General features: G+C 50.4%; 4 protein-coding genes, 1 long non-coding RNA gene and 3 pseudogenes across 19 annotated transcripts in view, besides 3 other annotated features; 4 read left to right on the top strand and 4 right to left on the bottom strand.

Annotated features, from left to right (window-relative positions):
* The first annotated feature begins 90 nt into the window (after positions 1 to 90).
* LOC388242 (SAGA complex associated factor 29 pseudogene) lies at positions 91 to 2,702 on the top strand (annotated as a pseudogene). Its single transcript, NR_002556.1, has 5 exons — positions 91 to 764; positions 854 to 1,093; positions 1,928 to 2,057; positions 2,128 to 2,191; positions 2,332 to 2,702. The product of NR_002556.1 is annotated as an SAGA complex associated factor 29 pseudogene (transcript).
* On the bottom strand, positions 2,689 to 12,578 carry SLX1B-SULT1A4 (SLX1B-SULT1A4 readthrough (NMD candidate)). The gene is made up of 11 exons (NR_037609.1): positions 12,220 to 12,578; positions 11,784 to 12,125; positions 9,910 to 10,037; positions 9,654 to 9,741; positions 6,136 to 6,287; positions 5,906 to 6,031; positions 5,719 to 5,816; positions 4,198 to 4,324; positions 4,008 to 4,102; positions 3,329 to 3,509; positions 2,689 to 3,206 (listed from the first exon to the last, which is right to left on the bottom strand). It is a non-coding gene; the product is annotated as an SLX1B-SULT1A4 readthrough (NMD candidate) (long non-coding RNA).
* SULT1A4 (sulfotransferase family 1A member 4) lies at positions 2,703 to 7,756 on the bottom strand. The gene is made up of 8 exons (NM_001017390.3): positions 7,684 to 7,756; positions 6,136 to 6,287; positions 5,906 to 6,031; positions 5,719 to 5,816; positions 4,198 to 4,324; positions 4,008 to 4,102; positions 3,329 to 3,509; positions 2,703 to 3,206 (listed from the first exon to the last, which is right to left on the bottom strand). Exons 2-8 carry the CDS (start codon positions 6,281 to 6,283, stop codon positions 3,094 to 3,096), a joined length of 888 nt encoding a protein of 295 aa, NP_001017390.1. The 5' UTR covers positions 6,284 to 6,287; positions 7,684 to 7,756; the 3' UTR covers positions 2,703 to 3,093.
* Positions 8,102 to 8,937: an enhancer, noted in NCBI's record as "H3K27ac-H3K4me1 hESC enhancer chr16:29470053-29470888 (GRCh37/hg19 assembly coordinates)". NCBI's record gives its function as "activates a minimal SCP1, AML or CMV promoter by ChIP-STARR-seq in primed H9 embryonic stem cells {active_cell/tissue: H9 hESC(primed)}" and the evidence as "EXISTENCE:reporter gene assay evidence [ECO:0000049][PMID:30033119]".
* Positions 9,449 to 13,136, bottom strand: SLX1B (structure-specific endonuclease subunit SLX1B). 4 transcript variants are annotated; one of them, NM_001400286.1, is made up of 6 exons: positions 12,739 to 13,136; positions 12,220 to 12,271; positions 11,784 to 12,119; positions 9,910 to 10,037; positions 9,654 to 9,741; positions 9,449 to 9,574 (listed from the first exon to the last, which is right to left on the bottom strand). In NM_001400286.1, the coding sequence occupies exons 1-6, from the start codon at positions 12,924 to 12,926 to the stop codon at positions 9,545 to 9,547; spliced, it is 822 nt and encodes a 273-aa protein (NP_001387215.1). In that variant the 5' UTR covers positions 12,927 to 13,136; the 3' UTR covers positions 9,449 to 9,544. The 4 variants fall into 4 exon arrangements, with proteins under 4 accessions (NP_001387215.1, NP_076949.1, NP_835145.1 ...); NM_024044.5 differs by having other exon boundaries at positions 9,450 to 9,574; positions 11,784 to 12,125; NM_178044.4 differs by lacking the exon at positions 11,784 to 12,119 and having other exon boundaries at positions 9,450 to 9,574.
* Positions 11,424 to 12,161: an enhancer, noted in NCBI's record as "H3K27ac-H3K4me1 hESC enhancer chr16:29466829-29467566 (GRCh37/hg19 assembly coordinates)". NCBI's record gives its function as "activates a minimal SCP1, AML or CMV promoter by ChIP-STARR-seq in primed H9 embryonic stem cells {active_cell/tissue: H9 hESC(primed)}" and the evidence as "EXISTENCE:reporter gene assay evidence [ECO:0000049][PMID:30033119]".
* On the top strand, positions 12,705 to 14,081 carry BOLA2 (bolA family member 2). Of its 3 annotated transcripts, none has more exons than NM_001320579.1 (3): positions 12,705 to 13,478; positions 13,594 to 13,653; positions 13,937 to 14,081. In NM_001320579.1, exons 1-3 carry the CDS (start codon positions 13,218 to 13,220, stop codon positions 13,985 to 13,987), a joined length of 372 nt encoding a protein of 123 aa, NP_001307508.1. In that variant the 5' UTR covers positions 12,705 to 13,217; the 3' UTR covers positions 13,988 to 14,081. The 3 variants fall into 3 exon arrangements, 2 of the variants coding, with proteins under 2 accessions (NP_001307508.1, NP_001026997.2); NM_001031827.3 differs by having other exon boundaries at positions 13,318 to 13,478; positions 13,556 to 13,653; positions 13,937 to 14,076; NR_135304.1 differs by having other exon boundaries at positions 13,464 to 13,653.
* Positions 12,705 to 24,764, top strand: BOLA2-SMG1P6 (BOLA2-SMG1P6 readthrough). Of its 7 annotated transcripts, none has more exons than NM_001320622.1 (5): positions 12,705 to 13,478; positions 13,594 to 13,653; positions 20,643 to 20,867; positions 23,170 to 23,271; positions 23,981 to 24,764. In NM_001320622.1, the coding sequence occupies exons 1-5, from the start codon at positions 13,218 to 13,220 to the stop codon at positions 24,248 to 24,250; spliced, it is 918 nt and encodes a 305-aa protein (NP_001307551.1). In that variant the 5' UTR covers positions 12,705 to 13,217; the 3' UTR covers positions 24,251 to 24,764. The 7 variants fall into 7 exon arrangements, 6 of the variants coding, with proteins under 6 accessions (NP_001307551.1, NP_001307552.1, NP_001307556.1 ...); NM_001320623.1 differs by having other exon boundaries at positions 13,556 to 13,653; positions 20,747 to 20,867; NM_001320627.1 differs by having other exon boundaries at positions 13,556 to 13,653.
* Positions 12,902 to 13,641: an enhancer, noted in NCBI's record as "OCT4-NANOG-H3K27ac hESC enhancer chr16:29465349-29466088 (GRCh37/hg19 assembly coordinates)". NCBI's record gives its function as "activates a minimal SCP1, AML or CMV promoter by ChIP-STARR-seq in primed H9 embryonic stem cells {active_cell/tissue: H9 hESC(primed)}" and the evidence as "EXISTENCE:reporter gene assay evidence [ECO:0000049][PMID:30033119]".
* Positions 17,754 to 18,324, bottom strand: LOC606724 (coronin 1A pseudogene; annotated as a pseudogene). The gene has a single exon (NR_002454.2). The product of NR_002454.2 is annotated as a coronin 1A pseudogene (transcript).
* SMG1P6 (SMG1 pseudogene 6) overlaps positions 20,643 to 27,995 on the top strand; it is a 21,616-nt pseudogene continuing 14,263 nt past the window's right edge. The window contains exons 1-4 of the transcript NR_135312.1: positions 20,643 to 20,867; positions 23,170 to 23,271; positions 23,981 to 24,053; positions 27,724 to 27,854. The product of NR_135312.1 is annotated as an SMG1 pseudogene 6 (transcript). The remainder of the gene's footprint in view (positions 20,868 to 23,169; positions 23,272 to 23,980; positions 24,054 to 27,723; positions 27,855 to 27,995) is intronic.

Here is a 27,995-nt window from a genome sequence, read left to right as displayed (position 1 = left end):
TTAATGAGATGCATAAAATTTGTAGTATGGCAGAAAATAATAAGGGTTCAGGAAAGGGGGGCGGGCAGGGAAGTGCACAAGAAAGAGCCGCAATTTTATTGTATTTTATTTTTTTAGAGACAGGGTCTTGCTGTTTCCCCCAGGCTGGAGTGCAATGGAGTGATCATAGCTCACTTCAGCCTCCAACTCCTGGGCTCAAGCGATCCTCCCACCTCAGCCTCCCCCGTAGCTGGGACTACAGGCATATGCCACCATGCCCGGCTTCTCAGAGCTGCAATTTTAAATTGGGAGCCAGGGAAGACCTCCCTGTGGAGGTGGCAGGTTATCAAGACTGAAGATGTAGAGAAGAACCTTCCAGTCAAAGGGAAAAGGCAGGTCCTGCTGTGCTCAGGAATGGCCAGAAGTACTATCATCCATCCCCATCTTAGAGATGTGGACAGGGCCGCAACAGTGTCAGGGCGTTTCCTGGCTCCTCAACAGCAGGATCCGAAGTCGTCTGGAGGATGTGCCGCTCTGCTTGGGGCGGACCTCCCCTGGAGCGCACCTCCCCTGGAGCGCGCGGACGCGCAGGGTGCACACAGCCCTCTTGGACCCCGGGACCGGCTCAGGCTCAGGCTCGGCGTCAGCAAAGGGACCTGCGCGGCGCCCTGGGGCGGAGGAGGCCCGACGGTCAGTGGCCAGTGCCGTGCGGCTGACGGAGGTCGGGGCGCAACGGGACCGGGAGGAGCGCCCAGGGCGGGGGTGCCAGGCCCCCTCCAACCGCGGCGGGGTTGGAGTCAAGGCGGCTCCGGGCGGGGGTCGGACCCCAAATCCAGGCCACAGGCCGCCGCCCGGTCTTCTTCTTTACCCGAAGGGCGGCCGCGGCGGATGGGAAGCCGTGCACGACGAGCACAATCTCCATGGGGAGGACAACAGGAATGTTCCTGTGAGCCCCGCCGCGCCCTACCGCCAGCGCAGCCCAGCATCGCGGGTCCCCTCCTATCCCACCGGAGAACGGGGTCCTCACTCCCAGCTTCAGCCGAGCCCTGGCCCCGCAACTGCCTGAAGGCACGCCCCCTGCACCTGCCCACCTCAGGTCCCGCCTCCAGCCCAGGTACCCACCTGTTCTCATTCCTCTCCCTCCTGCGCTCCACCCGACCCCAGCGTGCCCCCCAAGACCCCTGCGCTGGACCCCAGCCTGGATCATCACCCTCGCCTCAGCCAGCTGCTCTCCGGAGTTCTAACGCCGAGATTCCCAGGGCACCGCCTCCCCGTTAGGCTCCTCCCCTGCGACAGCCTCCCCCCACCAACAGGCCTCGCCCGGGACGTCCCGCGCACGTCACAGACCTAGTGGGTCCCTCTCAGCAGGCTTGTGCCCCCCGGTTCCGCCTCCTCCAGGGAGCCTTCCTCCGGGCACAGAGACCCTCCCCCTCTTAACAGGGACCTCGGCCAATGGTCCGCCAAGCCCCGCCTTTTTTGCGGCCACCATTGTGCTGCTGGACGAACAGGGTTGACAGTGAGCCCCACGTAGACAGGGCCCGGGTACCAGGGATTCAGGCAGTAGAGCAGCTGGACGCTGAAGAGGCACCCGGCCTCGCCCCGATTCCCGCGGGACCCTTCGAATTTTAGGAACTTTTCACTAACGAAACACACTTCTGTGTCAGCACCGACATCAAGAAGAGAACCTCACCAGCACCTCAGAACCCGCTTTGTCCCTCCCTGGTTCCTTCCCCTGGGTGCCTGGTGTGCTGCCGTCTCACCCATATGTAGTTGAGCGCAGCAGCCCCTGTAGGACACCTGGCAGATCAGGTCACAGTCCTGCTGTGCCCTCGGGCTCACTCGGGAGCTGGGGGCTCCCAGGTGCTCCTCCAGCAGCTCAGTTCAGCATGCTGGGGGGTCAGGGCCAGCCCCTGTCCCTGGGGCCTCAGGCCTCCCTTTCTTCCCACAGTGGCCAAGATCGCGGGTCTCTACAATGACTTGGAGCCACCCCGGAAGACCATGCGCAGAGGGGTGCTGATGACCCTGCTGCAGCAGTCGGCCATGACCCTGCCCCTGTGGATTGGGAAGCCTGGTGACAAGTGAGGGCAGCAGCTGCGAGGAAGGGGCTGGTGCCCAGGGGCTGGGACTGATCCTTTGTTCCACTCACAGGCCCCCACCCCTCTGTGGGGCCATCCCTGCCTCAGGAGACTACGTGGCCAGACCTGGAGACAAGGTGGCTGCCCGGGTGAAGGCCGTGGATGGGGATGAGCAGTGGATCCTGGCCGAGGTGGTCAGTTACAGCCATGCCACCAACAAGTGAGTGACACCAGCCCCGGGGCTGCTCTCTGCCCTTCCTGTCCACCTGCCCCACAGCCCCAGGAGGACTATTCTATCCTGTTTGAAGACACCTCCTATGCAGACGGCTACTCCCCTCATCTCAGTGTGGCCCAGAGGTACCTGGTAGCTTCTAAGGAGCCCAAGAAAAAGTGACGCTGCCCGGCGGACTCGACGTCCTCCACCATCTTGGGGCAGGACAGCAGAGGATGTGCTGGGATTAAACAGACATCCCCCCTCCACACATCTCCTGGGTTTTACTTCTCCAAACCCTTCTCCCCTCCCCAGATATGGTGACCTGGGGAGCTGAAGGCTGGGGGAGAGGTGACCATATGTGGCCCCACCGGGCATTCACTCTTTCAGCTCAGAGTTTCTCTTCCTTTCCAATACAGGCTCTACATGAACACAAATCATATTTTATTTTGAGCTTTATTTTCTTTGGAGGGAGGGTCTTGCTTGTCATCCAGGCTGTAGTGAATGGGCATGTCATAACTCACTGTATCCACAACCTCCTGGGCTGAAATGATCCTCCAGCCTCTGCTTCCCAAGTAGCTGGGACTACAGGTAAGTGCCAGCACATGTGGCTAATTTTTTTACATCTTTGTAGAGATGAGGTCTCACTATTTTACCAGGCTGGTCTCAAATTCGTGGCCTATTGTGATCCTACCAGCTCAACCTCCCAAATCGCTGGGATTGCAGACATGAGCCACTGTGCCTGACTCAAAAATCATACTTTATTCTTGAGCCCATTGGTCAGGGTAGATTCGCACACTCCCTCTGCAGTGACTCCAGGAGCCCCTCTCACAGCTCAGAGCGGAAGCTGAGGCTGCAGCCTGCCATCTTCTCCGCATAGTCCGCATCGAAGCGCTCATTCTGCGCCACGGTGAAGGTGGTCTTCCAGTCCCCAGCCATGCCTGGGGGAGGAAGGCAGGGAGCAAAGCTGGAGTCTCATCCCAGGGGAGGCCCCAAGTGCCTATGGGGAGGCTGCAGCTGCTGCTCCCACCCGCCCCAAACCCCCGTGCTGGCCAGCACCCACCTTTCCTCATGAAGGGGGAGATGCTGTGGTCCATGAGCTCCTGGGGGACGGTGGTGTAGTTGGTCATAGGGTTCTTCTTCATCTCCTTGAACGACGTGTGCTGAACCATGAAGTCCATGGTCTCCTCTGGCAGGGAGCGCCCCACAAACTCCAGGATCTTTTGAATCTCCCTTTTGGGGTTCTGAGCAGCAGAGGGCTCCTCAGTGGAGCAAAACAAAACGGGTCCCCCTCTCTAACCTCAGAGGGGATCTGGCCACTTCCCCTAGAAACCCCAAAGAGCCTCAACCCCTGGGGCCCTAGTCTCTGGAGTAAAATGAATTGATCTCTGCCCTGTGATCCCATCATGAACAGGGCTTGGCGCCTATGGGTGAGGACCGGGATGGTCTTCTTCCATGACTGTGGCCCTGGGTGGCACACCCTTTGGTGAGGATAAGCAATAGGACTAAGTATCTGATCCGTGGCCACCCATGCAGCTGACTCAGGTGCAGAAGATGAAAGCTGTGCCGAGCCTGCTGCCAGGTGGGGCTGCAGTGGGGGGGCCTGGGCCAGGGAGGTAGGATGGGGAATCCGGGCTTGCTGTGGGAGCCGCCCAGGGACGGGGCTGGGTGGCCTTGGTGGGTCCCTGTGAGGTGCCTGCCCCCAGGTGTCACATGGGGGGAAGCATCACAGTCGGTCTCACCTCCTTCATGTCTTCATAGAAGAGGTAGAGAACAGGGTGGGTGCGGCTCAGCTCCCACCACTCCTGCACGTGCTGGTACCAGGACCCGTAGGACACTAGAGAAGCGGGCAGGGGGCACCGACACAGGGTTGCTGTACGTTATAGCCACCACCCCTCGGCTTCACACCCTCCTTCCTCCAGTCAAGCCCACCTTCTCCAGCCATGAACTTTTCCAGGAAGCTGTCCCAGGTCCCAGGCTCAGGGTGCGCCTTTTCCATACGGTGGAAATGGTAGTAGGAGACCGCCACGTCCTTTGGGTTTCGGGCAACATAGACCACCTGCAGGGGCAGAGGACCCAGCCCCAGCACCATCACCACACAGCCCACCCCAGGCCAGCTCATCTGTTGAACTGGCAAAGGAGGAACCTGAGGCTTAGAGGCTGACTTGCTTGAGATCTCACTGCACAGGTAGGGCCAAGCTGGGATCTGAACCCTGCTCGGAAGCCAAAGTCCTGCCTGGTTCCTGAGACCATATTCTATACTAATATAATCTGCACCAATGCCATCATATCCTGATCTGGAGCAAGGCATGCCTGGTCCCCACCAGCTCCCCCTCCTCCGCTGACCTGTGAGCACCCACATGCTGCCTTTCTTAAGTGTGCACTGTAGAGACTCACTATCCTTGCATCAGACCCTCATCAGAGCAAGAGGCAGACAGTGTCCTCTCTCAAGATGTGATGAAGGCTGGGCGTGGTGGCTCATGCCTCTAATCCCGGCACTTTGGGAGGCCAAGGTGGCCAGATCACCTGAGGTCAGGAGTTCAAGACCAGCCTGACCAACATGGTGAAACCCCATCTCTACTAAAAATACAAAATTAGCCGGGCGTGGTGGCAGGTACCTGTAATCCCAGCTCCTTGGGAGGCTGAAGCAGGAGAATTGCTTGAACCCAGGAGGCGGTGGTTGCAGTGAACCGAGATCACACGATTGCGCTCTAGCCTCGGCAACAAGAGTGAAACTGTCTCAAAAAAAAAAAGGGCCAGGCGCGGTGGCTCACGCCTGTAATTCCAGCACTTTGTGAGGTCGAGGCAGGAGGATCACAAGGTCAAGAGTTTGAGATCCACTTGACCAACATGGTGAAACCCCGTCTCTACTAAAAAGAATACAAAAATTAGCCGGGTGTGGTAGCACACGCCTGTAATCCCAGCTACTCAGGAGGCTGAGGCAGGAGAATCACTTGAACTGGGGAGGCGGAGGTTGCAGTGAGCTGAGATCATGCCACTGCACTCCAGCCAGGGTGACAGAGCAAGACTCTGTCTCAAAAAAAAAAAAGATGTGATGAGCCTGGCAGAAGCGAGGAGGCCCTTCCAGAAGAACAGGTACATGGCTGAGAGGGCACCTGAGCCCCCCTTCCTGGCTTTCCTTGCCAGTCAGTGGGAACTTTTTTTTCGTAGAGATGGTTTTGCTGTGTTGCCCAGGCTGGAGTGCAGCAGCAGGATCATCAGGGCTCATTGCAGCTTCCTATTTGCATAAACAGTCCTCCCCGCTGAGCCTCCTAAGTAACTGGGAACAGTCTATGCCACCATACCAGGTTGTTAATTTTATTTTTGTAGAGATGGGATGTCATCTCTACAGCAATGTTGCCCAGGCTGGTCTCCATCTCTCGCCTTCAAGGGATCCTCCCTCCTCAGTCTCAAACTGGGATGACAGGTGTGAACCATTGAGCCCGGCCTCACCTTGACCTTCTGATCCAACAGAGTCTGAGGGAGCAGAGCCAGGGGCAGGTGTGACTTGATGAGCCGTGGGGGCGGTGTGTCTTTCAGAGTCTCCAGCCCTGAGTAGTGGGTCAGGGAAGGTCTGGTGAGCTGAAGCCCCAGCCCTGTCTTCCTCCACTTCCCTTACCCCCAGGACCCAGCCATGCACCTGAGGGTTCCCCTGGATCATTGACCTCAAGGAAGGGCACCCGTACGTAGATGGGAGCCCGGTTACACTTCTCTAGGTCGCCGCCCTGGTAGATCATGTCCAGTATCTGGCTCACCCAGGTGGTGCCTGGAGAGGGAGGGAGATAGGAGGTGAGCAGGCTGAGGGCACGACCTTGCTGACCAAGGTGGGGACTGCCGCCTGGGAGAGGGTGGGTGGCCCTCCTCACTTACCAGACTTGGGGTAGGTGTTGATGAGCAGGTCATCAGGTCGGGCTTGGAAGCTCTGCAGGGGCCCCAGTGCCTCTGCAAAGTACTTGATGAGCGGGACCCCCTTCACGTACTCCAGTGGCGGGCGGGAGGTGTCCTGGATCAGCTCCATGTTCCTGCATCAGGGGCCAGAGCCAGGCCCGTTCCCTTACCACCATCACAACAGCAAGAAAGTGGGATTCTCTCTTTTTTTTTTTTTTTTTGAGATGGAGTCTCACTCTCACCCAAGCTGGAGTGCAGTGTGGCACAATCTCAGCTCACTGCAAACTCCACCTCTTGGGTTCAAGCAATCCTCCCGCCTCGGCATCCCAAGTAGCTGGGATTACAAGCATGTACAACCATGCTCAGCTAATTTTTTTTTTTCTTTAGTAGAGATGGGGTTTCACCATGTTGGCCAGGCTGGTCTAGAACTCCTGGCCTCAAGTGATTTGTCTACCTCAGCCTCCCAAAGTGCTGGGATTACAGGTGTGAGCCAGCACCCAGCTGCCCCTTTGCAGAGTTTTTGCTTTCAGGGAAGTCACTGAGGCCTAGGGAGGCTGAGTGACTTGCCCGCACTCACAAAGTCAGTCAGTGGCGGGGCTGGGGCTGAAACCAGGTCGTTCCCCAGCCTGGCCGCACCTTTCAGTCACCTGCAGAGCTGTTCAAAATCCCAGGGCCTGGGGCATAGTGCAGACCAGTGAAAGCACCCTCGTAGCGCGGGGCCCAGATATCAGGGTGTGTGAAGGTCTCCAGGAGAGTCCAGCTGTGCTGAGGAAGCTCTAGGGCCTGCCTGTGCTGTCTCCCTGCCAGCCAGCGCCCTTTGTCTCACCATTTCCTGCTGGGACCCCCAGCCTCCACCCAGTGCGCTCCTCTCCCCGATGCTCCCCTCCTTGAGCCCCCCTCATGCCCCTCACATGTGGAAACCTCCCAGGCCGGCCAGGTCTGTGATCCACTTGCCTGGCCACAGTCCATCTGGGCTCCAGAACAAACACAGCCCATTGAGCAACTAAGCTGGTACCAGGGGCTAGAGCCTCGTGCGGGAATGAAAACTGATGACTCATCAAAAGGAGGGGCCCAGGCAGGGTGACTCCCGCCTGTAATCCCAGAGCCTTGGGAGGCCAACGGGAAAGGATCCCTTGAGCCCTGGAGTTTGAGACCAACCTGGACAACAAAGCAAGACCTCTCCTCTACAAAAAATATTTTTCAAAATTAGCTGGGTGTGGTGGCTTGCTCTTGTAACCCCAGCTACTCAGGAGGCTGAGGCGGCAGGATTGCCTCAGCCTAGGAATTTGAGGCTGCAGTGGGCCAGGATCCCACTACACTCCAGCCTGGGTGACGGAGCAACACCCTGTCTCAAAAATACACAAAGGAAAAGAAGGAACGCAGGGGGATTCCGGCCAGGCTGGGTTGTCTAATTGAAATGGAATATCCATGGGAAAGGGCAGGGATGGCAGAGGCCTCGGCTTCTAGAATGTTGGAGCCACAAGCTGAGCAGGGTGAAGGTGCCCTGGGCCATTCCAACGTGTCACTCACCTGAGCTCTCGGGAACCTGACCTGTTCTCTCCTTGCCTGCAGGGGCTGAGTATGGGTGTGGTGTAGGGAGTGTAGGGCTGCTCTCTGCCCTGAGGGTTTTGAAGGTCCAGTGTGGGAGGGATCTAAAGTCAGGGCTGGGAACTCCAGGAAGGAAGGGGTGGGGTTGAGGGTGGGGAAGCTTCTCTATTACCCTCCTTACCACCACAGCTCCAGCCAAGCTTGGAGTGATCTGCAAACCCAATATGTGAGTTTAGTGTATAGAAAACACATGAATGAAAGGCAAAAGGGGCCAACATTGGTATTTGGGTTTTTTTTTTTTTGAGCTGTCACTAGGCTCCTGACCTTCCCTCTGAACTCCACCCTGCAGGGCAGGCCAACAGACAAGCTTTCTTTCTTTCTTTTTCTTTTTTTTATATGAGATGGAGACTCGCTCTCTCGCCCAGGCTGCAATGCAGTAGCACGATCTCCGCTCACTGTAACCTCCCCCTCCTGGGTTCAAGCGATTCTTCTGCCTCAGCCTCCCGAGTAGCTGGGATTACAGGTGCACACCACCACATCCGGTTAATTTTTGTATTTTTAGTAGAGACGGGGTTTTGCCATGTTGGCCAGGCTGGTCTCAAACTCCTGAGCTCAGATGATCCGCCCGCCTCGGCCTCCCAAAGTGCTGAGATTACAGGCATGAGCCACCATGCCTGGCCGACAAGCTTTCTCTAATTGACCCAGGCAAGGGAGGTGAGTGAGTGGAGGGGAAAGGTGGGATAGGCCGGCCTGGGAAAAGTCACCTACCTGCTGGCTACAGGCCAGTCTTGAAGGCGGCAGGGGTTCTGGCCCAGTGCAGTCCACAGGCCCCCAGCAGCCCAGGCATTCCAGGCTCTGACCACAAGGCCAGTCTGGAGTGATGTGTGGGGGCAGAGTGAAGGGGCAGAAGTGGAGCAGAGCATGGACATATAGAACAAGAAAGAGGCTGAGCGTGGTGGCTCACGCCTGTAATCCCAGTACTTTGGGAGGTCGATGCAGCAGGATCACCTGAGGTCAGGAGTTCGAGACCAAGCTGGCCAACATGGTGAAACCCTGTCTCTACTAAAAATACAAAAATTAGCTGGGCATGATGGCGGGCACCTGTAATCCTAGCTACTCAGGAGGCTGAGGCAAGAGAATCACTTGAACCCAGGAGGCGGAGGTTTCAGTGAGCCAAGATCACACCACTGCACTCCAGCCTGGGCAACAGAGTGAGACTCTGTCTCAAAAAAAAAAAAAAAAAAAAAAAAAGAAAGAAAGAAAGAACAGAAAGAATAAGAAAGGACAAGGACACTGTAGTCCCATTGCCCTAGGAGCCAGCCCTAGCTTCATGGCTCCTGGGGGACCTCACAGAGCATCAATAGAAGATCCTAGAAGAAAAACAACCCTGGCAGGTGCTTTTCTTTCCCTGGGTTTGAAGGAGGCTCCGTAGACAAGAGACTAGAGGAGATTAAGACTTGGAAGCCACAGGGCCCCGTGGAAGGAGGGCATCCCCCCATCCTCCTTGGTCTTTGTCCTATTTGCATTCAATTTCAAGGTAAGTCTCCCAGGCTTCCAAGAATTGCATGAGCTCAGAGGCAAGTAGGGGAAAGCTGAGGCATGGGGTTTCCAGGCAGAGTAGAAGCTGTTCACGTGCTAGGGCCAGGGGCCCCTCCTGCCTCCTCTGTGCCCCTGAGGAAGCCCCGTGACTGGCAGGACCTTGGGCTACTAGCTCCGCCCCTCCCCTCAGCATCCACCATAAGGCACCCTTGACTCAGACTTTTTATTGTACTCAAGTAAAAACCTGCTGGACCCACAGCAGGTGGCACAGAAAAGAGGTAGGAGGGGGTAAGGACACTGAGGATCAGGTCTCCAGCAGGTCTGTCCAGTGTGCCTGCAGAGGCAAGCAGTGTGGTCACAGGCAGCCCAGGGCAGGGAGTGGGGTAGGGAGCCCGCCACCAAAGCCCACTCACCTCTTCTAATTCTGAGTCTTCTACTTCTTTCTCAGTGTCCATCTGGCACAGCCAGATCAGGTCTCCCCAAAGCAGTGACTTCTCACAGCTACCAAGGAGAGGGGCAGGTAGGAGATACAGAGTCAGATGCCACAAGCCCCCTCCAGTATCCGCCCTGGATGCTGAGATGAGGGCTCAGCTGCCTGGGCCTGGATTGCACAACTGGGCACCCTCTTCCCAGAGGTGGACCAGGCTGGGGCCAGGGGACTGCACTCACCAAGGGCATTGGCCCTCTAGGGGCAGAAGCTGCCCTGGTTCTTCCTGAAGAAACTCCTCTGCCAGGCAGATCACATGGGCCCTTAGCAGGCAGCCAGGGTGGGGGCAACACAAGGGCCCCTCTTCATCCTGACCCAGGCAGCAGGCAGGTAAGAGACAAGGAGGGAGAGGCAGCTGGCAGCAACCCCTCTATGCAGCAGGCACTGTTGCGGGCATTACACAGCTCCATCCCATGAGGCAGGGGTGACTGTTATTTGCATCTTACAAATGAAGAAACTGAGGTGGACAGTTAAAATCCTTGCCCCTAGGACTAAGCTGGTGCAGGTCCTGGGAGCATCAGCAGTGATTGATTGAGTCACAGCCTCACCACTGCAGCCAGACCTGAACTTCCTCACAGCTCAGCAACACCCAGCAGGTCACTGAATGTCCCCAGGGCAAGTCCTCTACTCACTCACAATTACCGGGAGCTCAGTAGAAGGCACCCATCGTCCATTATTTTATTAAATATTTAGGCCGGGCACGGTGGCTCATGCCTGTAATACCAGCATTTTGGGAGGCTTAGGTGGGCAGGATCACCTGAGGTCAGGAGTTTGAGACCAGCCTGGCCAACATGGTTGAAACCCCATCTCTACTAAAAATACAAAAATTAGCCAGGCGCGGTGGCAGGCGCGTGTAATCCCAGCTACTCTGGAGGCTGAGGAAGGAGAATTGCTTGAAACCAGGAGGCAGAGGTTGCAGTGAGCTGAGATCGCGCCACTACACTCCAGCCTGAGCGACAGAGTAAGACTCTGTCTCAAAAAAAAAATAAATAAATAAATAAAAAGAAAATTTCTGGGCCATCGGCTCAGTGCAGGACTTTGTTCTACAGCAGTGATAAGTGCTGCCCTCTGATAGTGCAGTGTGGCAGTTGGGGTGGGAGAGGCTAATGAGATCAAGAAAACACGTAGCATGCCAGACAATAGTAAGTGTTAAGGGAAAGGGGGTGCAGAAAAGTGCACACAAGAATGAGCTGCAGTTCATTACATTGTTTTAGAGACAGGGTCATGTCCAGGCATGGTGGCTCACGCCTATAATCCCAGCACTCTGGGAGGCCGAGGCGGGCAGATCACTTGAGGTCAGGAGTTTGAGACCAGCCTGCCCAACATGGCGAACCCCATCCCTACTAAAAACACAAACATTCGGCAGGTGTGGTGGCACACTTGGGAGGTTGAGATAGGAGAATCGCTTGAACCCAGGAGGCGGAGCTTCCAGTGAGCTGAGATCACTGCACTCCAGCCTCCGCAACAGAGCAAGACTCTGTCTAAAAAAAAAAAAAGGGCCGGGCGCGGTGGCTCATGCCTGTAATCCCAGCACTTTGGGAGGCTGAGGCGGGCGGATCACGAGGCTAGGACATCGAGACCATCCTGGCTAACACGGTGAAACCCCGTCTCTACTAAAAATACAAAAAATTAACCAGGCGTGGTGGCGGGCGCCTGTAGTCCCAGCTACTCGGGAGGCTGAGGCAGGAGAATGGCGTGAACCCAGGAGGCGGAGCTTGCAGTGAGCAGAGATCGCGCCACTGCACTCTAGCCTGGGCGACAGAGCTAGACTCCATCTCAAAAAAAAAAAAAAAAAAAAGAGGGTCATGCTCTGTCGACCACACTGGAGTGCAGCGGAGTACTGATGGCCTAGGGAAGAACCTTTTCTTTGAAGGGGAAATGGTGAAGGCCCTGAGCAGGGCCTGCTTTGCTCAGGAATGGCCGTAAGTCCTATAGCATCAGCATCTTAGAGATGGGGATAGGGTGGCCAAAGCGTGTCAGTGGGTTTCCCTCAAGAAAGAGCTGGATCCGAAGTCGTCTGGACTCTAGAGCCATCCATTCCTCGGGGGGACCTCACCTGGATGGTCTGGGCGCACAGGGAGCAGCAGGCCCCTGGATCCCCCTGGTCTGGCTCAGGCTCCGCGTCATCAAAGGGACCTGCGCGGCGCCTTGGGGCCGGGGCCTGGGGCGGTGGAGGCCCGAAGGCCAGAGGCACGTGCGGCGGCGGCGGGAGGCAGAGGTCCTGGCGGAGGTCTGGGCGCACCCAGCGCAGCGTGAGCGGGAGGCGAGCCCAGGGCGGTGCGCGCAGCATGTGCGCCAGCACGCGCAGGTGGAAAGCGAAGGCTGTCTCTCCTCGCAGGCGAGGCCCCACGTGCGCCAGGCGGCGCGAGGCGTGCGGGTGCTGCCAAGCCCACTCAAACTGCGGGCGGCGTACAGGGGCATCAGGGCGGCTCGGAGCGAGGGGCGGAACCCAAGCCCTCACCCGGCCGCCGCTGCCCGGTCTCCTTCCTTACCCGAAGGGCGGCCACGGAGGACGGGAAGCCGTGCACGACGAGCACCATCTCCCTGAGGAGGAGAACCGTGATGTCCCTGTCGCAGCCCAGCGCCTCAGCCGCGGGTCCCCTCCAATCCCACCCGAGAGCGGGGTCCTCATTCCCGGCTTCAGCCGAGAAGTGCAGCCCTCTGCACCTGCCCACCTCAGGCCCTGCCTCCAGCCCAGGTACCCACCTGTCCCACCTCCTCTCTCTCCTGCATTCCACCCGACCCCAGCGTGCCCACCAAGAGCCCTATGCTGGAACCCAGCCTGGATCATCACCCCCGCCCCAGCTAGCTCCTTCCCTGAGTTCCGCCGCGGAGATGCCCCGGGCACCGCCTCCCCGTCACGCTCCTCCCCTGCGACAGGCCCCGTCCCCACCACAGACGCCCCGCCTCTGTCACAGTCCTGGCCGGTCCTTCTCAACAGGCCTGTGCCCCGCGGGGTCCGCCTCCTCTGGGACGCCTTCCTCCCGGCACAGAAGGCCTCCCCCTCTCACCAGGGCCCTCGCCCGCTGGTCCGCCAGGCCCCGCCTTTTTTGCGGCCCCCATTGTGCTGCTGGACCCGACGAGCAGTGTTGACAGTGAACCCCACGTAGACGCGGCCCCGGTACCGGGGGTTCAGGCAGTAGAGCAGGTAGACGCCGAAAAAGCGCCCTGGCCTCGCCGCGACCCCCGCGGGACCCATCGGGCCTTGGGGTTCGGGAACCACAGCAGGGGGTTGATTGCCGTGACCTAGGGTCCAGGGGAGGGCTGGATCGCTAGGGCTGCAGGGTGCTTGCTTCGGAACAAGCTCTCGGGGACTATCCGGAGGCAGCCTGCAGGAAGCCGTAGCGCCGGTACGTGCCCCTCTCCTGTCTGGAGGCGGGTGTAGAAGTCCGACCGCGGAAGCCAGACTGCTGTCCAGTCGGCGAGCGCGTACCATTCAGCATCGGCTCCGCCCGAGTCCCACCTTCCTCAGGCTCTGATTGGCTGACACATGGCAAGCGCGAAAAGCCTGGACCGCTGGAAAGCCCGGCTGCTTGAGGGCGGAAGTACTGCGTTGACGTACGCCTTAGTAAGGGCGGAAGTGAGTTTTCCAGCGGAAGTGGCTCCTGTAAGGCAGCAAGGTAGCGTGGCCGGCGCCCGAGCTGGGGTTGTGTCCCTGCTGGGCTGCCGTTCCAGCTGGACTGCCGCCATGGAACTCAGCGCCGAATACCTCCGCGAGAAGCTGCAGCGGGACCTGGAGGCGGAGCATGTGGTGAGTTGAGCCGCCGGACAAGGGGAAAAGAGCTCGGGGGGCGGGTTCGGCACCATTCATATTCTTCCGCTCGGTAGGAGGTGGAGGACACGACCCTCAACCGTTGCTCCTGTAGCTTCCGAGTCCTGGTGGTGTCGGCCAAGTTCGAGGGGAAACCGCTGCTTCAGAGACACAGGTAAGGCCCTGGGAGCACCTTGCCTAGCTCCTGTACCACAACCCCAGCCACTCCCCCTACCCCTGCAACCTGACTCCCGCACTCCCCCTGGCGTGGCTCAGGGACCTTGAGGATCCCGCCTTCGTGACCCCTGCTTCGAGTATTTCGATGTAGACCCTCTCTCCAAGTACGTGTTCCCACGGCCTGGGGACTACAACCTTGGGGACACCAGTCTCTTGGGTCACCCTAGCCTCGGGGTGTGCGATCACCGCTGGCCTTTTCCTAACCCCATCTCTCGCCCCAGGCTGGTGAACGCGTGCCTAGCAGAAGAGCTCCCGCACATCCATGCCTTTGAACAGAAAACCCTGACCCCAGACCAGTGGGCACGTGAGCGACAGAAATGAGGGACTGGGATCTGCACAGCCATTAAATTATAAATCTGGACCAGCTTCTGTGTCGATGTGTGTGTGGGAGGGGTGCTGAGGCCGAGTCTAGGACCTGGCCTCTCCCTGCCCTGCCTCCGTCCATTGTTTTACCTTGGACACGTCTCTGTCCCCATCTAGGCCTCTATCCCTGCTTGTAAAATGAAAGTTCTACCGTAAAAGTCCCTTCCAGGGTCTACCGAGAAAGCCTTCTCTCTGCAACTCCGTTTAGACATCTAGGAGTCTGTACTGCCACCACCTACCCACCTCCTAGAGAGCTCAGGGTTCCTCCTCTCTGCTAGCCTTCAAGATGCAGAGATGAGAAAGTGATCGGGGTTTCAGGGCCCTGACCAGTTGAACAAACCTCTCCCTGACATTACCGCAGTATCAGAGGCACCATATAGAATTCCACATATTCCTTGCAGGTTCCCCCCGGCCTTCTCAGGCCCAAGAGGGAGTGGTGCCCAGGTAGGGGCTCATCAACTCCTGGAATGCTGATGTTTTCAGACCCACTGGAGAAGGTTCCAGTGGCCCCATAGCCCTGGGCTTAATGTGTCTACAGCTGCCCCCGGAGGACCATGGAGGTTTTAAGAATAGTGGGTGTGGGACGGGGATAGGGGTGAGATTAGAGTAGGAATATAAGGCTGACCTGAGTCAGAAAATTGGGGCAGGTGATGCCCCTGTATCAGTCTTCATAACAGGTTAGTAGGGTTGCTAGGACCTTGTTTGTTTTATTTGTTTTTTGTTGTTTGAGACAGGGTCTTGCTCTGTCGCCCAGGCTGGAGTGCCGTGGCGCCATCTCAGCTCATTGCAACCTCTGCCTCCCAGGTTCAAAAGATTCTTGTGCTTCAGCCTCCTGAGTAGCTGGGATTACAGGGGTGCACCACCATGCCCGGCTAATTTTTGTACTTTTAGTAGAGACAGGGTTTCACCATGTTGGCCAGGCCAGTCTCAAACTCCTGGCCTCAAGTGATCTGCCCGCCTTGGTCTCCTAAAGTGCTGGAATTTTAGGCGTGAGCCATTGTACCTGGCCCAGATTGCTAGGACTTTGAACAGAGGTCCCTGAGACCTAGGGAGGGAGCCCAAATAACCTAGTTGGGGCCAGGGCTCGTTGAGAGTGAGAAATTGCAAGTTTCAGCCATCACACACTCTTTTCCTGCGTTTTTTTGTTTGTTTGTTTGTTTGTTTTGAGACAGAGTCTTGGCTCTGTTGCCCAGGCTGGAGTGCAGTAGCATGATCTTGGCTCACTACAACTTCCCCCTCCCGGGTTCAAGCGATTCTCCTGCCTCAGCCTCCCTAGTAGCTGGGATTACAGGCACACGCCACCATGCCCAGCTAATTTTTGGGGTTTTTTTATTGTTTGTTTGTTTGTCTGTTTTTGAGACAGAGTTTCACTCTTGTTGCCCAGGCTGGAGTGCAATGGCACGATCTCGGCTCACCACAACCTCCGCCTCCTGGGTTCAAGCGATTCTCTTGTCTCAGCCTCCCAAGTAGCTGGGATTACAGGTATGTGCTACCACGCCCGGCTAATCTTGTATTTTTAATAGAGACAGGGTTTCTCCATGTTGTTCAGGCTGGTCTTGAACTCCCGACCTCAGGTGATCCACCCGCCTCGGCCTCCAAAAGTGCTGGGATTACAGGCGTGTGCCACTTATGCCCAGCTTTCTTTTTTGTTTTCTTCCCACACCTCTACTGCCCAAGTAGTTTTCTATGGCATACTGAAGAGGTGGGGCCTGGAAATGACGCCATGGGTGGTCCCTGCTTGATATGAACCAAACCTTACTATGGCTAAGACGCCCATCCCAAACAGCCCTGTGTCCTCCCATCTCAGGATCACCTGCTAAGTTGGGTATCAAAACCTATTCCCACACCCACTCCCCACAAGGCCTGACAGACCTGTTCCTGCCAGGTCTCTCACAGAGGTCAGGCCCAGGCAGAACCCACAGGAAGGGCTAGAGAGGCAGAAGCACTCACTACACGGGGGAAGGCTCTGAATTCAAAAGGGGAGACATAAGGCCAGGCACAGCGGCTCATGCCTGTAATCCCAGCACTTTGGGAGGCTGAGGCAGGCAGATGACTTGAGGCCAGGAGTTTGAGACCAGTCTGGCCAACATGGTGAGACCCCACCTCTACTGAAAACACAAAAGTTAGCCGGACGTGGTGGCACATGCCTGTAATCCCAGCTACTTGGGAGTCTGAGGCACGAGAATGGCTTGAACCCAGAAGGCAGAGGTTGCGGTGAGCCGAGATTGTGCCATTGTACTCAATTTGGGCAACAAGAATGAAACTCCATCTCAGAAAAAATTAAATAAATAAAAAAGTGGGGAGACTTGGACTCTGACTTGGGATCTGCCCTTCAGTGAGCTGGGCTCCTGCTCCCGGCCTCAGTTTCTTCTCTGGTAAACTAGGATCAGCCTGTTGCCTTAATTCTGTCTTTTCCTTAGAAGAAGTTCCCCTGTTTCATATATTAAAATATATAATATATAAAACATATATATAAAATATATATAATTTATATTATAATATATAATATAATATAATATAATATATTATAATATATATTATATATTATACTATATTATTATATAGTATAATATATAACTTATTACTATATAATATAATATATAATTTATTATTATATAATATAATATATATTATATATTAAAATATATAATTAATATATATAATATTTATATATTAAAATATAATATATATAATATTTATATATTAAAATATATTATATATAATATATTTATATATTAAAATATATAATATATATAATATATTTATATATTAAAATATATATGATGTATTTATACATTTAAAAAAAAAAAAATATATATATATATATATTTTTTTTTTTTTTTTTTTTGAGACGAAGTCTCACTCCTGTCCCCCAGGCTGGAGTACAATGGCATGATCTCGGCTCACTGCAACCTTTGCCTCCCGGATTCAAGCAATTCTCTTGCCTCAGCCTCCTGAGTAGCTGAGATTACAGGCGCCTGCCACCATGCCCAGCTAATTTTTGTATTTTTAGTAGAGATGGGGTTTCACCATGTTGGCCAGGCTGGTCTCGAACTTCTGACCTCAGGTGATTCACCCACCTCGGCCTCCTAAAGTGCTGGGATTACAGGCGTGAGCTGCCACACCCGGCCTATTTATATTTTTTAGAGACAGTGTCTTGCTCTGTCACCCAGGCTGCAGTGCAGTGGTGCAATGGCTCATTGCAGCCTCGACCTCCTGGGCTCAAGGGATCCTCCTGCCTCAGCCTCCTGAGTAGCTGGAACTATAGGTGCCCACCACCATGCCTGGCTAATTTTTTATTTTATTTTTCGTAGAGACGGTATCTCGCCGTGTTGCTCAGGCAGGTCTCAAACTCCTGGGCTCAAATGATCCTGCCGCCTCAGCCTCCCACAGTGCTGGGATTATAGACGTGAGTCCCCATGCCCAGCCTCCCTCGTTATTTTTATCTTTGGACCTGCAGTTTAAAAGATGCCTACCCTGTAAGTGATGGTTGGTTCATTTCCTCACAAGCAACAGTGCCAGCAGAGTCACGTGCAACGTGATGTTTTGGTTGACTAGGAAAGGCAGATTTTTGGTAAATTTGGGAATTATTGAGGTTCTAAGCTAGGGCCTTAAATAGTTCAGCTGTGTCAGCTCTGAGAAGGAGCTCGGAAACGGAGAGCAGCCTCCTGGCCCACATCAGCATGGCTGGTTTCTACCCACGAAGGCCCTGTTCCTGTGATGTAGTAAGTCAGGGGGCATCCCACATCCCCTGCCATGGGTCAGTCCCCTCAGCGCGGTGGAGGGGAAGCTCTAGGGCTGGTTGGTTCAGCAAACTGCGTGTCTAGGGGACCAGTCATCAGAGTCTGGGAGGTACCAGAAAATAAAGCCATTTTATTATGATTTTTTTCTCTGCCATGTGGCTGGGAATGGGAGGTGAGTGGATGGGTGTGAATGGCTGACCCTGCTGGAGGCCCTGCGGGGCTCTACTTGGCCTGGACTGTCTCCTCCAGCCTGTCCAAGCGCTTCTGGAGCTCCTGCACCGTGGCCTGGAGCTTCCGCATCTCCTCCTCCAGCCGAGACACGGCATCCTGGGGACCCGGTGCTGCATTAGGCCCAGCTCCTCCCTGGCTCCCCTTACCCCAGCCTCTGCTGAGCCCCATCCCTAGAGCCCTGGCCTTGGGCCCTTTAGTCGCTCAGCTGGTTGCTGCCTGGAGACCTGCAGGCCTATCAATCTGAAACCTGTGTTCTGAGGCCTCAGGATTACCATTCCCGGACCCACAAAGATTCCCAATGTTGTGAGTTTGAGGTGCCCCAAACACCAGCCCCACCCCACCCTCCCAGTTTTATTCCCTGGCTTCCCAGCCCTCTCACCGAGCTGGGAGTGCCACTGGCCTCTGGTGCTGCCCTCCTGCGCCGGTATTATTATAAGAAATAATATTTCTTATAATTTTACTTTTAAATTATTGGGTTTCCTTTTAGTTTTTCAACATATTACGAATAGCACACTATAGGAGAAGCCTCAGAAAGTAACCTTCTCTGAGCATAAGATGGAACTCATATGAAAACTTGTATATCTTTATATTCTTTGATAGCCTGATATCAAAGAACATAAACAAATTAAAAATGAGGTAGCTAGATTGCCACACTTCAGCAGCCTCAAACATTAGCTGCACTGTATATAGCACATCCAATGAGGGTTCAGTGGAAAAGACACAAGAAATGAACCCCAGGCATTGTACTCTGCTTTGAATAAGGAGAAAGAAGCATGTGTGATACAGTCATAAAAAAATTAATCTAACTGATGAAAATTTTACTGTTAGGATAAAACTCGCTTTTAGGAGCATATACTTTTGCTGAACATGTTGCTAAATAAAATAGGATATTGATTATATAGTAAGTTGTGTACTTGAGCAGAAATGTCAGAACTTAAAGATAAATGAAACCAGCATATTGGTATTTTAAACCAATATGGTTTCAAAATGGTTTAATATCTTTGCTTCATTTTTAATGTCTAAAAGGTGGTTGAAGACTGTACAGAGTTGAAATAAAAAGCCGTTAATTCAGACATAAAATAAAAGGGACATAATTTATAGGATAGGTGTATATTGATTTATGAGGATCTTTTAGGCCTTTGAGAATGGTAGAATGGTGGGGTTTTTATTTTTTTTATTTATTTTTGGAGCTGGAGCCTCACTCTGTCACCCAGGCTGGAGTGTAGTAGTGCAATCATAGCTCACTGTAGTCTTGAACTCTTGGGCCCAGGTGAACTTCCCATTCACTCAGCCCTACAAGCGGGTGTCACCATACCCAGCTTTTTTTGTTTTTCTTTTTAAAGTGGGGTGGTGCCATCACGACTCAGTGCAGCCTCTGTATCTTGGGCTCAAGTGATCCTCCCACCATAGTTCCTGCTAATTTTTTATTTTTGTAGAGATGGGGTCTCAGTGTTTCCCAGGCTGGTCTTGAACTTTTGGCCTCAAGCAGTCTTCCCACCTCAGCCTCCCAAAGTGTTGGGATTATAGACATGAGCCACTGTGCATGCATGGCCAAGAATGGTTCCCCCTCCGCCCTCTCTCCCCCACTCTTTTTTTTTTTGGAGACATGGTCTCTGTTGCCCAGGCTGGAGTGCAGTGGCACGATCTTGGCTCACTGCAGCCTTGACCTCCCAGGCTTAAGTGATCCTCCCACCTCAGCCTCAAGTAGTTGGTGGGACTACTGGTGTGAGCCACCACGCCCAACTAATTTAAAAACAAATTTGGTAGAGATGAGGTGTTGTTATGTTGACATGGCTGGTCTCAAACTCCTGGACTCAAGAGAACCTTCCAGCTAATCCTCTCAAAGTGCTAGGATGATAGATGTGAGTCACTATGCCCAACCTCCAAGGATACTTTTAATGAAAACTATGGGTAGACTAAATAAAATCCTGTATGTATTGGTTGTTAAATATTATAGAAATATTTTTAAACATTTGCTCTGTTTTCTCCCCCATTTTATTAGAAATTTAGTACACAATTATTGGCCATTATAGTTAAGTGGGGGATTTTGTTTGTGTGTGTATTGGAAATAATATGATTTTTGAAGATATTATGTGGTAAGCATGAGAGTGCTTATCTTTCAAAAGAGACCATCAGTAGATAGAAACTTTAATAAGCTTAAAGTGACTTGTATGTTCAGTTTTGAAAGATTGATTCCCAAAAGCCCAAGAGCTAGCTTGTAGTATGTGTGGGCAGGCTATTCCCATGCTGTCAATACCATTACTGTCGTGGTGTATTTCATGATAAAGATTCTGAGCTTCAGCCATTTAGTGACATTGGGAGAAACGAAGTTGGGTATATGGGAAATAGAGGATGGCAGGTTCCATTTCCTGTCATAGTAGCACTTTAGGATTTTTTAGCCAAGATCATGTTTACATATTGTAGTAAAGGGATCATTATTATTCAGCTACTGAGAACTAGAATATTAAGAGACTGCTGGCAAGGCAAGCAGTTAATTTTCAGTTGAAATTGCATTAAATAAAAAGTATTTTCTTGCTTTGTGGAAGCACGTGAATTTTTGTAAAAAGCTGCTTGTTTTCCCCATTTACAGGTTCTGTACAGAGTAATGAGATGTGTGACGGCTGCAAACCAGGTGTTTTTTTCTGAGGCTGTGTTGACAGCTGCTAATGAGTGTGTTGGTGTTTTGCTCGGCAGCTTGGATCCTAGCATGACTATACATTGTGACATGGTCATTACATATGGATTAGACCAACTGGAGAATTGCCAGACTTGTGGTACCGATTATATCATCTCAGTCTTGAATTTACTCACGCTGGTATGTGAATTATTCTTTTCCTTTTTAATGTGTTGGTTTATTCAGGCCCTTAAATCGATATGTAAGAAATTAAGGACTTTGTCTGGGTATGGTGGCTCATGCTTGTAATCCCAGCACTTTGGGAGGCCAAAGCAGAAGGATTGCTTGCATCCAGGAATTCTGGCACAGCTTGGGCAATGTAGTGAGACCCCATCTGTACAAAAAGTCAAAAATTAGCTTGGTGTAGTGGTGTGCACCTGCAGTCCTAGCTACTCGGGAGGCTGAGGGAGGAAGATCGATTAAGCCCAGGAACTTGAGGTTGAAGTGAGCTCTGATTGTGCCACTGCACTCAGCCAAGGTGACAAAAAAGGCCCTGTCTCCAAAAAAGAAAAAAAATAAGGGCTTTGCTTTATTATATTATTTTTTAGAGTACATTCATCAGTCTTATAATCTATGCTTTCATTTTAGTGTCTATTTACTTTTATTTTTAATGCAATTTTTTTTTGAGACAGGGTCTCACTCTGTTGCACAGGATGAAGTGCAGTGGCATGATTTTGGCTCACTGTAGCCTTGACCTCTTGGGTTCAGGTGACCCTCCCACCTCAGCCCCCCAGGTAGCTAGGACTACAGGCGTGCACCACCACACCTGGCTAATTTTTTATATTATTTTGTAGAGATGGAGTTTTGCCATGTTGCCCAGGCTGGTCTTGAATTCTTGGGCTCAAGCAATCCACCTGCCTTGGCCTCCCAAAGTACTGGGATTATAGGCATGAGCCACTCTGCCAGGCCTCTATTTTTAGTGGTTGATAGCTAGTCTCAGTGTAGCTTTACTCGTTTTTTCTGAGGAAACATTGCTCTACGCACCAGATTCTTTCTTTTTTGCTTTTCTTTTCTTTTCTTTTCTTTCTTTTTTTCTTTTTTCTTTTTTTTTTTTTTTTTGTCACAGGATCTTGCTGTATTCCCCTGGCTGGAGTGCAGCGGTACAATCAGAGCTCACTGCAGCCTCAAACTCCTGGGCTCAAGTGATTCTCCCACTCAGCCTCCCGACTATCTGGGACTACAGATGCATGCCACCATGCCTGGCTAACCTTTGTAGTTTTTGGAGAGAAGGGGTCTCACTACATTGTCTAGACTGGCCTTAAATTCTTGGTCTCAAGTAATCCTCCTGCCTTGCCCTCCCGAAGTGCTGGGATTACAGGTGTGAGCAATCATGCCTGGCCTCCTTTAATTTCTTTTTTTTTTTTTTTTTTTTTTTTTGAGACGGAGTCTCGCTCTTTTGCCCAGGCTGGAGTGCAGTGGCACAATTGTATTTTTAGTAGAGACGGGGTTTCACCATGTTAGCCAGGATGGTCTCGATCTCCTGACCTCGTGATCTGCCTGCCTTGGCCTCCCAAAGTGCTGGGATTACAGGCGTGAGCCACCACGCCCGGCCGGCCTCCTTTAATTTCTTAACCATAAATATCCTCCCCCCACTTTTATTATGGACATTCTGAAGCACATAAAAATAGGGAGCATAGTATAATAAATTTGTACATATTTAACACTCAGCTTCTATAATTAGAAACAAATGGCCCATCTGGTTTCATCTAGGCCTCTTTGCTATCCTTTCATCTCCAGCTGGATTATTTTAAAGCAAATTCTAGATGACATTCTGCTGAGCATTTCTGCCAGAATTACACCTCTCTTTGCTAATGTGAAAAAATGCCCATGATAACTGTAAAATACGTGTGTCCTATTTAGGTGTCTAAACACTTTAATGTCACAGTATTAAGGCCTTAAAATATAGCTTAGATATATTTTTCTAAATTAAAAGACTTTATTTTTTAGATATACAGAAAATTGAGCAGAAAACAATGAGTTCCCATATACCTTCTTCATCCCAACAGTTTCCCCCTCATTAACATATTGTGTTAGTGTGGTACATTTATTACAAAGGAGTGAATATTGATATATTATTATTAACTAATTTTATAGTTTACTTTGTGTTATGTATTCTATGGACTTTAACATGTGTAATGACATGTATCCCCTATTACCAGTATCATACAGGATAGTTTCACTTCCCTAAAAATCTTTGATGTTCTACCCACTCCTTCCTCGTTCCCTCTCCTCACTCCTCCCTCCCTCCATCTTAAGCCCATGGCAACCCCTGATCTTTTTACTGTCTCCATCGTTTTGCCTTTTCCAGAATGCCATGTAGTTGGAGTCATATAGTATGTAGCCTTTTCAATTGACTTCTTTCACTTACCAGTGTGCATTTAAGGTTTCTCCATGTCTTTTTGTAATTTGAGAAGCTCATTTTTTAAAAATTTTATTCTTTTAGATTGTTGAACAGATAAATACGAAACTGCCATCATCATTTGTAGAAAAACTGTTTATACCATCATCTAAACTACTATTCTTGCGTTATCATAAAGAAAAAGAGGTAAGTAATACACTGATAATGAATTTTGACAACTTGAGTCACTGAAGAGTTGGACCTAATGTTGCTTACCAGGCTATATAAGTGAAATTGAGTGAAATGTGAAATGTTTGATTTAGAATATAGTGATTGTATTTGTTCTTTTAAATTTATATTTCTTGATAATCATACTGAATACTTTCATGAATGATGTGCCAGATACTCTTTTCAGACTATGCATCTCTTGCTGTTATTAAATTTATTAAATTTTCATAAGGGTAAAACAAGTTGACACATTTATAAAGTTATAAATTAAGTACTGTATATTTTGTAAACAAAAATGACTGGCTTTTCAACCACCCCCTAGTCAAATCCACCACAGACTTTCCTGGTAGATTTAAGAAACCCAGTCTTAAATTGCTGTTTGCATATGTCTTTTGATGTTGATTATTTAAAAAAAAACGGCCATTTTGGAAATTTCCTATTGACAGTTTTCATTTATAGTACTCTTTATTTGTGATAAAACTTAATAGATTTGAAATAGCATACTGATCTGTGTCAGTTTTCTGATTGGTTTTTTAAAAATTAAAATATTAAGTGCTACGGACAGTGAATTGATCAATCTTAAATTTATTTGTATCATCAGCACTAATACAGATAGTGATTTATTTTCCATATAATTTTAGAAGATTTATTTTCCATTTATCACTTCCTTGAATTTTTTGTTTTTCAGGTTGTTGCTGTAGCCCATGCTGTTTATCAAGCAATGCTCAGCTTGAAGAATATTCCTGTTTTGGAGACTGCCTATAAGTTAATATTGGGAGAAATGACTTGTGCCCTAAACAACCTCCTGCACAGTCTGCAACTTCCTGAGGCCTGTTCTGAAATAAAACATGAGGCTTTTAAGAATCATGTGTTCAATGTAGACAATGCAAAATTTGTAGTTAAATTTGACCTCAGTGCCCTGACTACAATTGGAAATGCCAAAAACTCGAGTCTTTAATTGTAATGACTTTGTTTTATCCACAGTTAAGCCTTTTCTCATTACATATTTATGTATTTCACTGTCATGTCAACATGTCTGCAGAATCACTGTATGTAACAAACAGCCATATTTAAGACATGCCTGGATAAATAAAATTGGTAGGAATGTTTTCTTGCCATTATATTTAACGTTTCTTCTTTTTCCTTGACAAATCTTGATAAGTTTTTTTATATTAGTTTTATTTTCTAGAAAACGTCTTATGAATTTCTCCCATTTGCTCTAGCATGCTTATAGAAAATGTCAGTGTTTCTTACAGCTCAAATTTGTATAGTTGTTTTAAAATGCGGTCTCTTTCTTCTTCCCCTGGTACTTTTTTCTTTCTGTCTACTGAAGTTAGTTCTTATACATGGTCTTATATTTTGGCTGTCTTTTTTTCCCTAGGAACATTCATACAGGTTGAATATTCCTTATCTGAAATACTTGGGACTGGAAGTGTTTTTGATTTTGGAGTTTGGAATACTTTTTTTTTTTTGGAGATAGTGTTTTACTCTTGTTGCCCAGGCTGGAGTGCAATGGCGCAATCTTGGCTCGCTGCAACCTCCGCCTCCCGGGTACAAGCGATTCTCCTGTTTCAGCCTCCCAAGTAGCTCGGATTACAGGCATGCGCCACCACGCCTGGCTAATTTTTTTGTATTTAGTAGAGATGGGTTTTCACCATGTTAGCCAGGCTGGTTGTGAACTCCTGACCTCAGGTGATCCACCTGCCTTGGCCTCCCAAAATGCCGGGATTACAGGTGGGCACCACCATGCCCAGCCGGATTTTGGAATATTTTCATAACACTTACTGGTGAGCACCCCTAATCTGAAAATCCTAAATCTAAAATGCTCCAAAATTTGAAACTTTTTGAGCACCAGTATGATGCCCCAAGTGGAAAATCCCACACCCGACCTCATGTGATGAGTCCAAACTGTTGTATGCACAAAATTATTTAAAATATTGCATAAAATGACCTTCAGGCTATGAATAGAAGGCGTCTATGAAATATAAGTGAATTTCGTGTTTAGACTTGGGTCGCGTCCCCCACATATCTCATTTTATATATGTGCAAGTATTCTCAAATCCAAACATATACAGAGTCTGAAACACTTCTGGTCCCAAGCATTTTGAATAAGGGATACTCAACCTGTAGTCTTTCTTTTAGGAGGGGGGAAAAAAAAAGCTTTTTTTTTTTTTGGAGACAGAGTCATGCTGTTGTCACCTGGGCTGGAGTGCAGTGGTGCAATCTCGGCTCACTGCCACCTCTGCCTCCCGGGTTCCAGCAATTCTCCTGCCTCAGCCTCCCGAGTAGCTGAGATTACAGACACCTGCCACTACGACGGGCTAATTTTTGTATTTTTAGTAGAGACTTGGTTTCACCATGTTGGCCAGGCTGGTCTCAAACTCCTGACCTCAGGTGATCCACCCGCCTCAGCCTCCCAAAGTGCTGGAATTACAGGCACGAGCCACCGCGCCCAGCCCGTGTGTTTTTTTTTTTAAGTAATTCGACGTGGCCCTGCTCTTGATTTGTATTTATTGTTTATGGTTTGTGTATTTCTTCTTCCTATTGGACCACACAGAGTTGAAAAACATTATTTTTAATAGAAAATAATAGGTGTAGGCTGGGCACGGTTGCTGACACCTGTAAACCCAGCACTCTGGGAGGCCACGTCGGGCTGATCACTTGTGGTCAGGAGTTTGAGACCAGCCTGGCCAACATGGTGAAAGTTCGCCTCTACTAAAAATAGAAAAATTAGCCAGGGGTGGTGGTGCACACCTGTAATCCTAGCTACTTTGGAGGCTGAGGTAGGAGAATTGCTTGAACCCAGGAAGTGGAGGTTGCAGTGAGCTGAGATCACACCACCGCACTCCAGCCTGGGCTACAGAACCAGACTCTGTCTCAAAAGAAAAAAAAAAAAAGAAAGAAACAAAGAAAGAAAGTAATGGATGTAATTAGGGAATAAAGTTTTTAGGAGGAAAAAGGTAAAATTTGATGTTTGCGCTTCAGTGTGCTCCATGTTGTTTGATTGGATTGCCTTGTATAATTCCATAGCTGCTTCGCTTATTACCAGTTACAGCTTATGTTTGAAGTCACAATAAACTCTTCTTCAAACATGAAAGCTTGATTTTTGAGGAAAATTATTCACATTATTTGCAGATTCAAAGATGTTTATGTCCTGTACTCTAGAAATAAGGAGAAAGTGGGTGGGGCTGGGGCAGTCAGGTGGAATGGAGTGTCTTGGCAGTGTAAAGGAACAAGATGGATGGAAAAGGTGTATAGTGGCAGGGTGTGCCTTTGTTTCCTTATTGAACAGGGCACCTTGCCATTTGCAGTATATGGAAAATTGAAGAAATACAGTCTACTTCCGCAAAAGGCACATACAAAGGGCTCTGTTTAGACCAGAGATCAGCAAACTATGGTCCGTGGGCCAAATACAGCCCAGCACCTGTTTTTTGTTTGTTATTTTAAGTGTATAATTCACTGATTTTTAGTATATTCACAGAAGTGTACAACCATCGCAACACTAGTGCCTGTTTTTGTAAAGAAAGTTCTCGTTGGGCTGGGCGCAGTGGTTCACGCCTGTAATCCCTCGGGAGACCGAGACGGGCAAATCACCCGAGCTCAGGAGTTCAAGACCAGCCTGGCCAACATGGTGAAACCCTATCTCTACTAAAAAAATACAAAAGTTAGCAGGGCGTGGTGATGGGCACCTGTAGTCCCAGCTACTTGGGAGACTGAGGCAGGGAGAGTTGCTTGAACCCCGGAGGTAGAGGTTGCAGTGAGCTGAGATCGCCCCATTGCACTCCAGCCTGGGCAACAGAGCGAGAGACTCCGACTCAAGAAAGTTTTCTTGGAACACAGGTACTCTCATTCCTGTGTTTCGTATGTGGCTGGTGTTTTGTTTTGAGAGAGAGAGTCTTAACTTTGTCATCTAGGCTGGAGTGCATTGGTATGATCTCGGGTCACTGCAACCTCTGCCTCCCAGGTTCAAGCGATTCTCCTGCCTCAGCCTCCCGAGTAGCTGGGATTACAAGTGTGCGCCACCATGCCCAGCTAATTTTTGTAATTTTAGTAGAGATGGGGTCCCGCTGTGTTGCCCAGGCTGGTTTCAAACTCCTGGGCTCAAGTGATCTGCCCACCTTAGCCTCCCAAAGTGCTAGGATTACAGGTGTGAGCCACAACACCTGACCTGTGGCTGTTTTCTTACTGTAGCGATAGACAAGGAGTTGCTGCATTGCATAGAGATGCTATATTGCACGCAAAGGCTTTACTGACTTCACAAAAAAGTATTTGTCCAAGGTGTAGTGTACTAGATCCCTTCCAATCTGTAATTTTAATTTAAAAATGTCCAAATAAAAAAAGTCCAAATACCCCTGTTTTGAAGGATAAACTCTGTATGCTTGTGCTTATTTTGGAGAAGCCATAAACTTACTTTGTTTTGTACATGATCAGATGTGGGCGCTATCTCCAACTGTCTTTGCACTTCTGAGTAAGAATCTGATGATTGTGCACAGTGACCTGGCTGTTCACTTCCCTGCCATTCAGTATGCTGTGCTCTACACATTGTATTCTCATTGTACCAGGTACTGTATTCACAAATTTTTCTTAAGAACCCCACAAAACATTTTATTTTTTTAATGGATAGATTTTAAAGATGTATGTTGATTTAACTTTGGACTTGCTTGCTTTCTTTGATTAAAGATGAAAAGATAATCTATGCTTTG

Source organism: Homo sapiens, chromosome 16, assembly GCF_000001405.40.
Source record: "Homo sapiens chromosome 16, GRCh38.p14 Primary Assembly".
Classification (NCBI taxonomy): Eukaryota; Metazoa; Chordata; class Mammalia; order Primates; family Hominidae; genus Homo; species Homo sapiens.
Note: the sequence above shows the minus strand (reverse complement) of the source record. Positions and strands in the feature narration are given on the sequence as shown.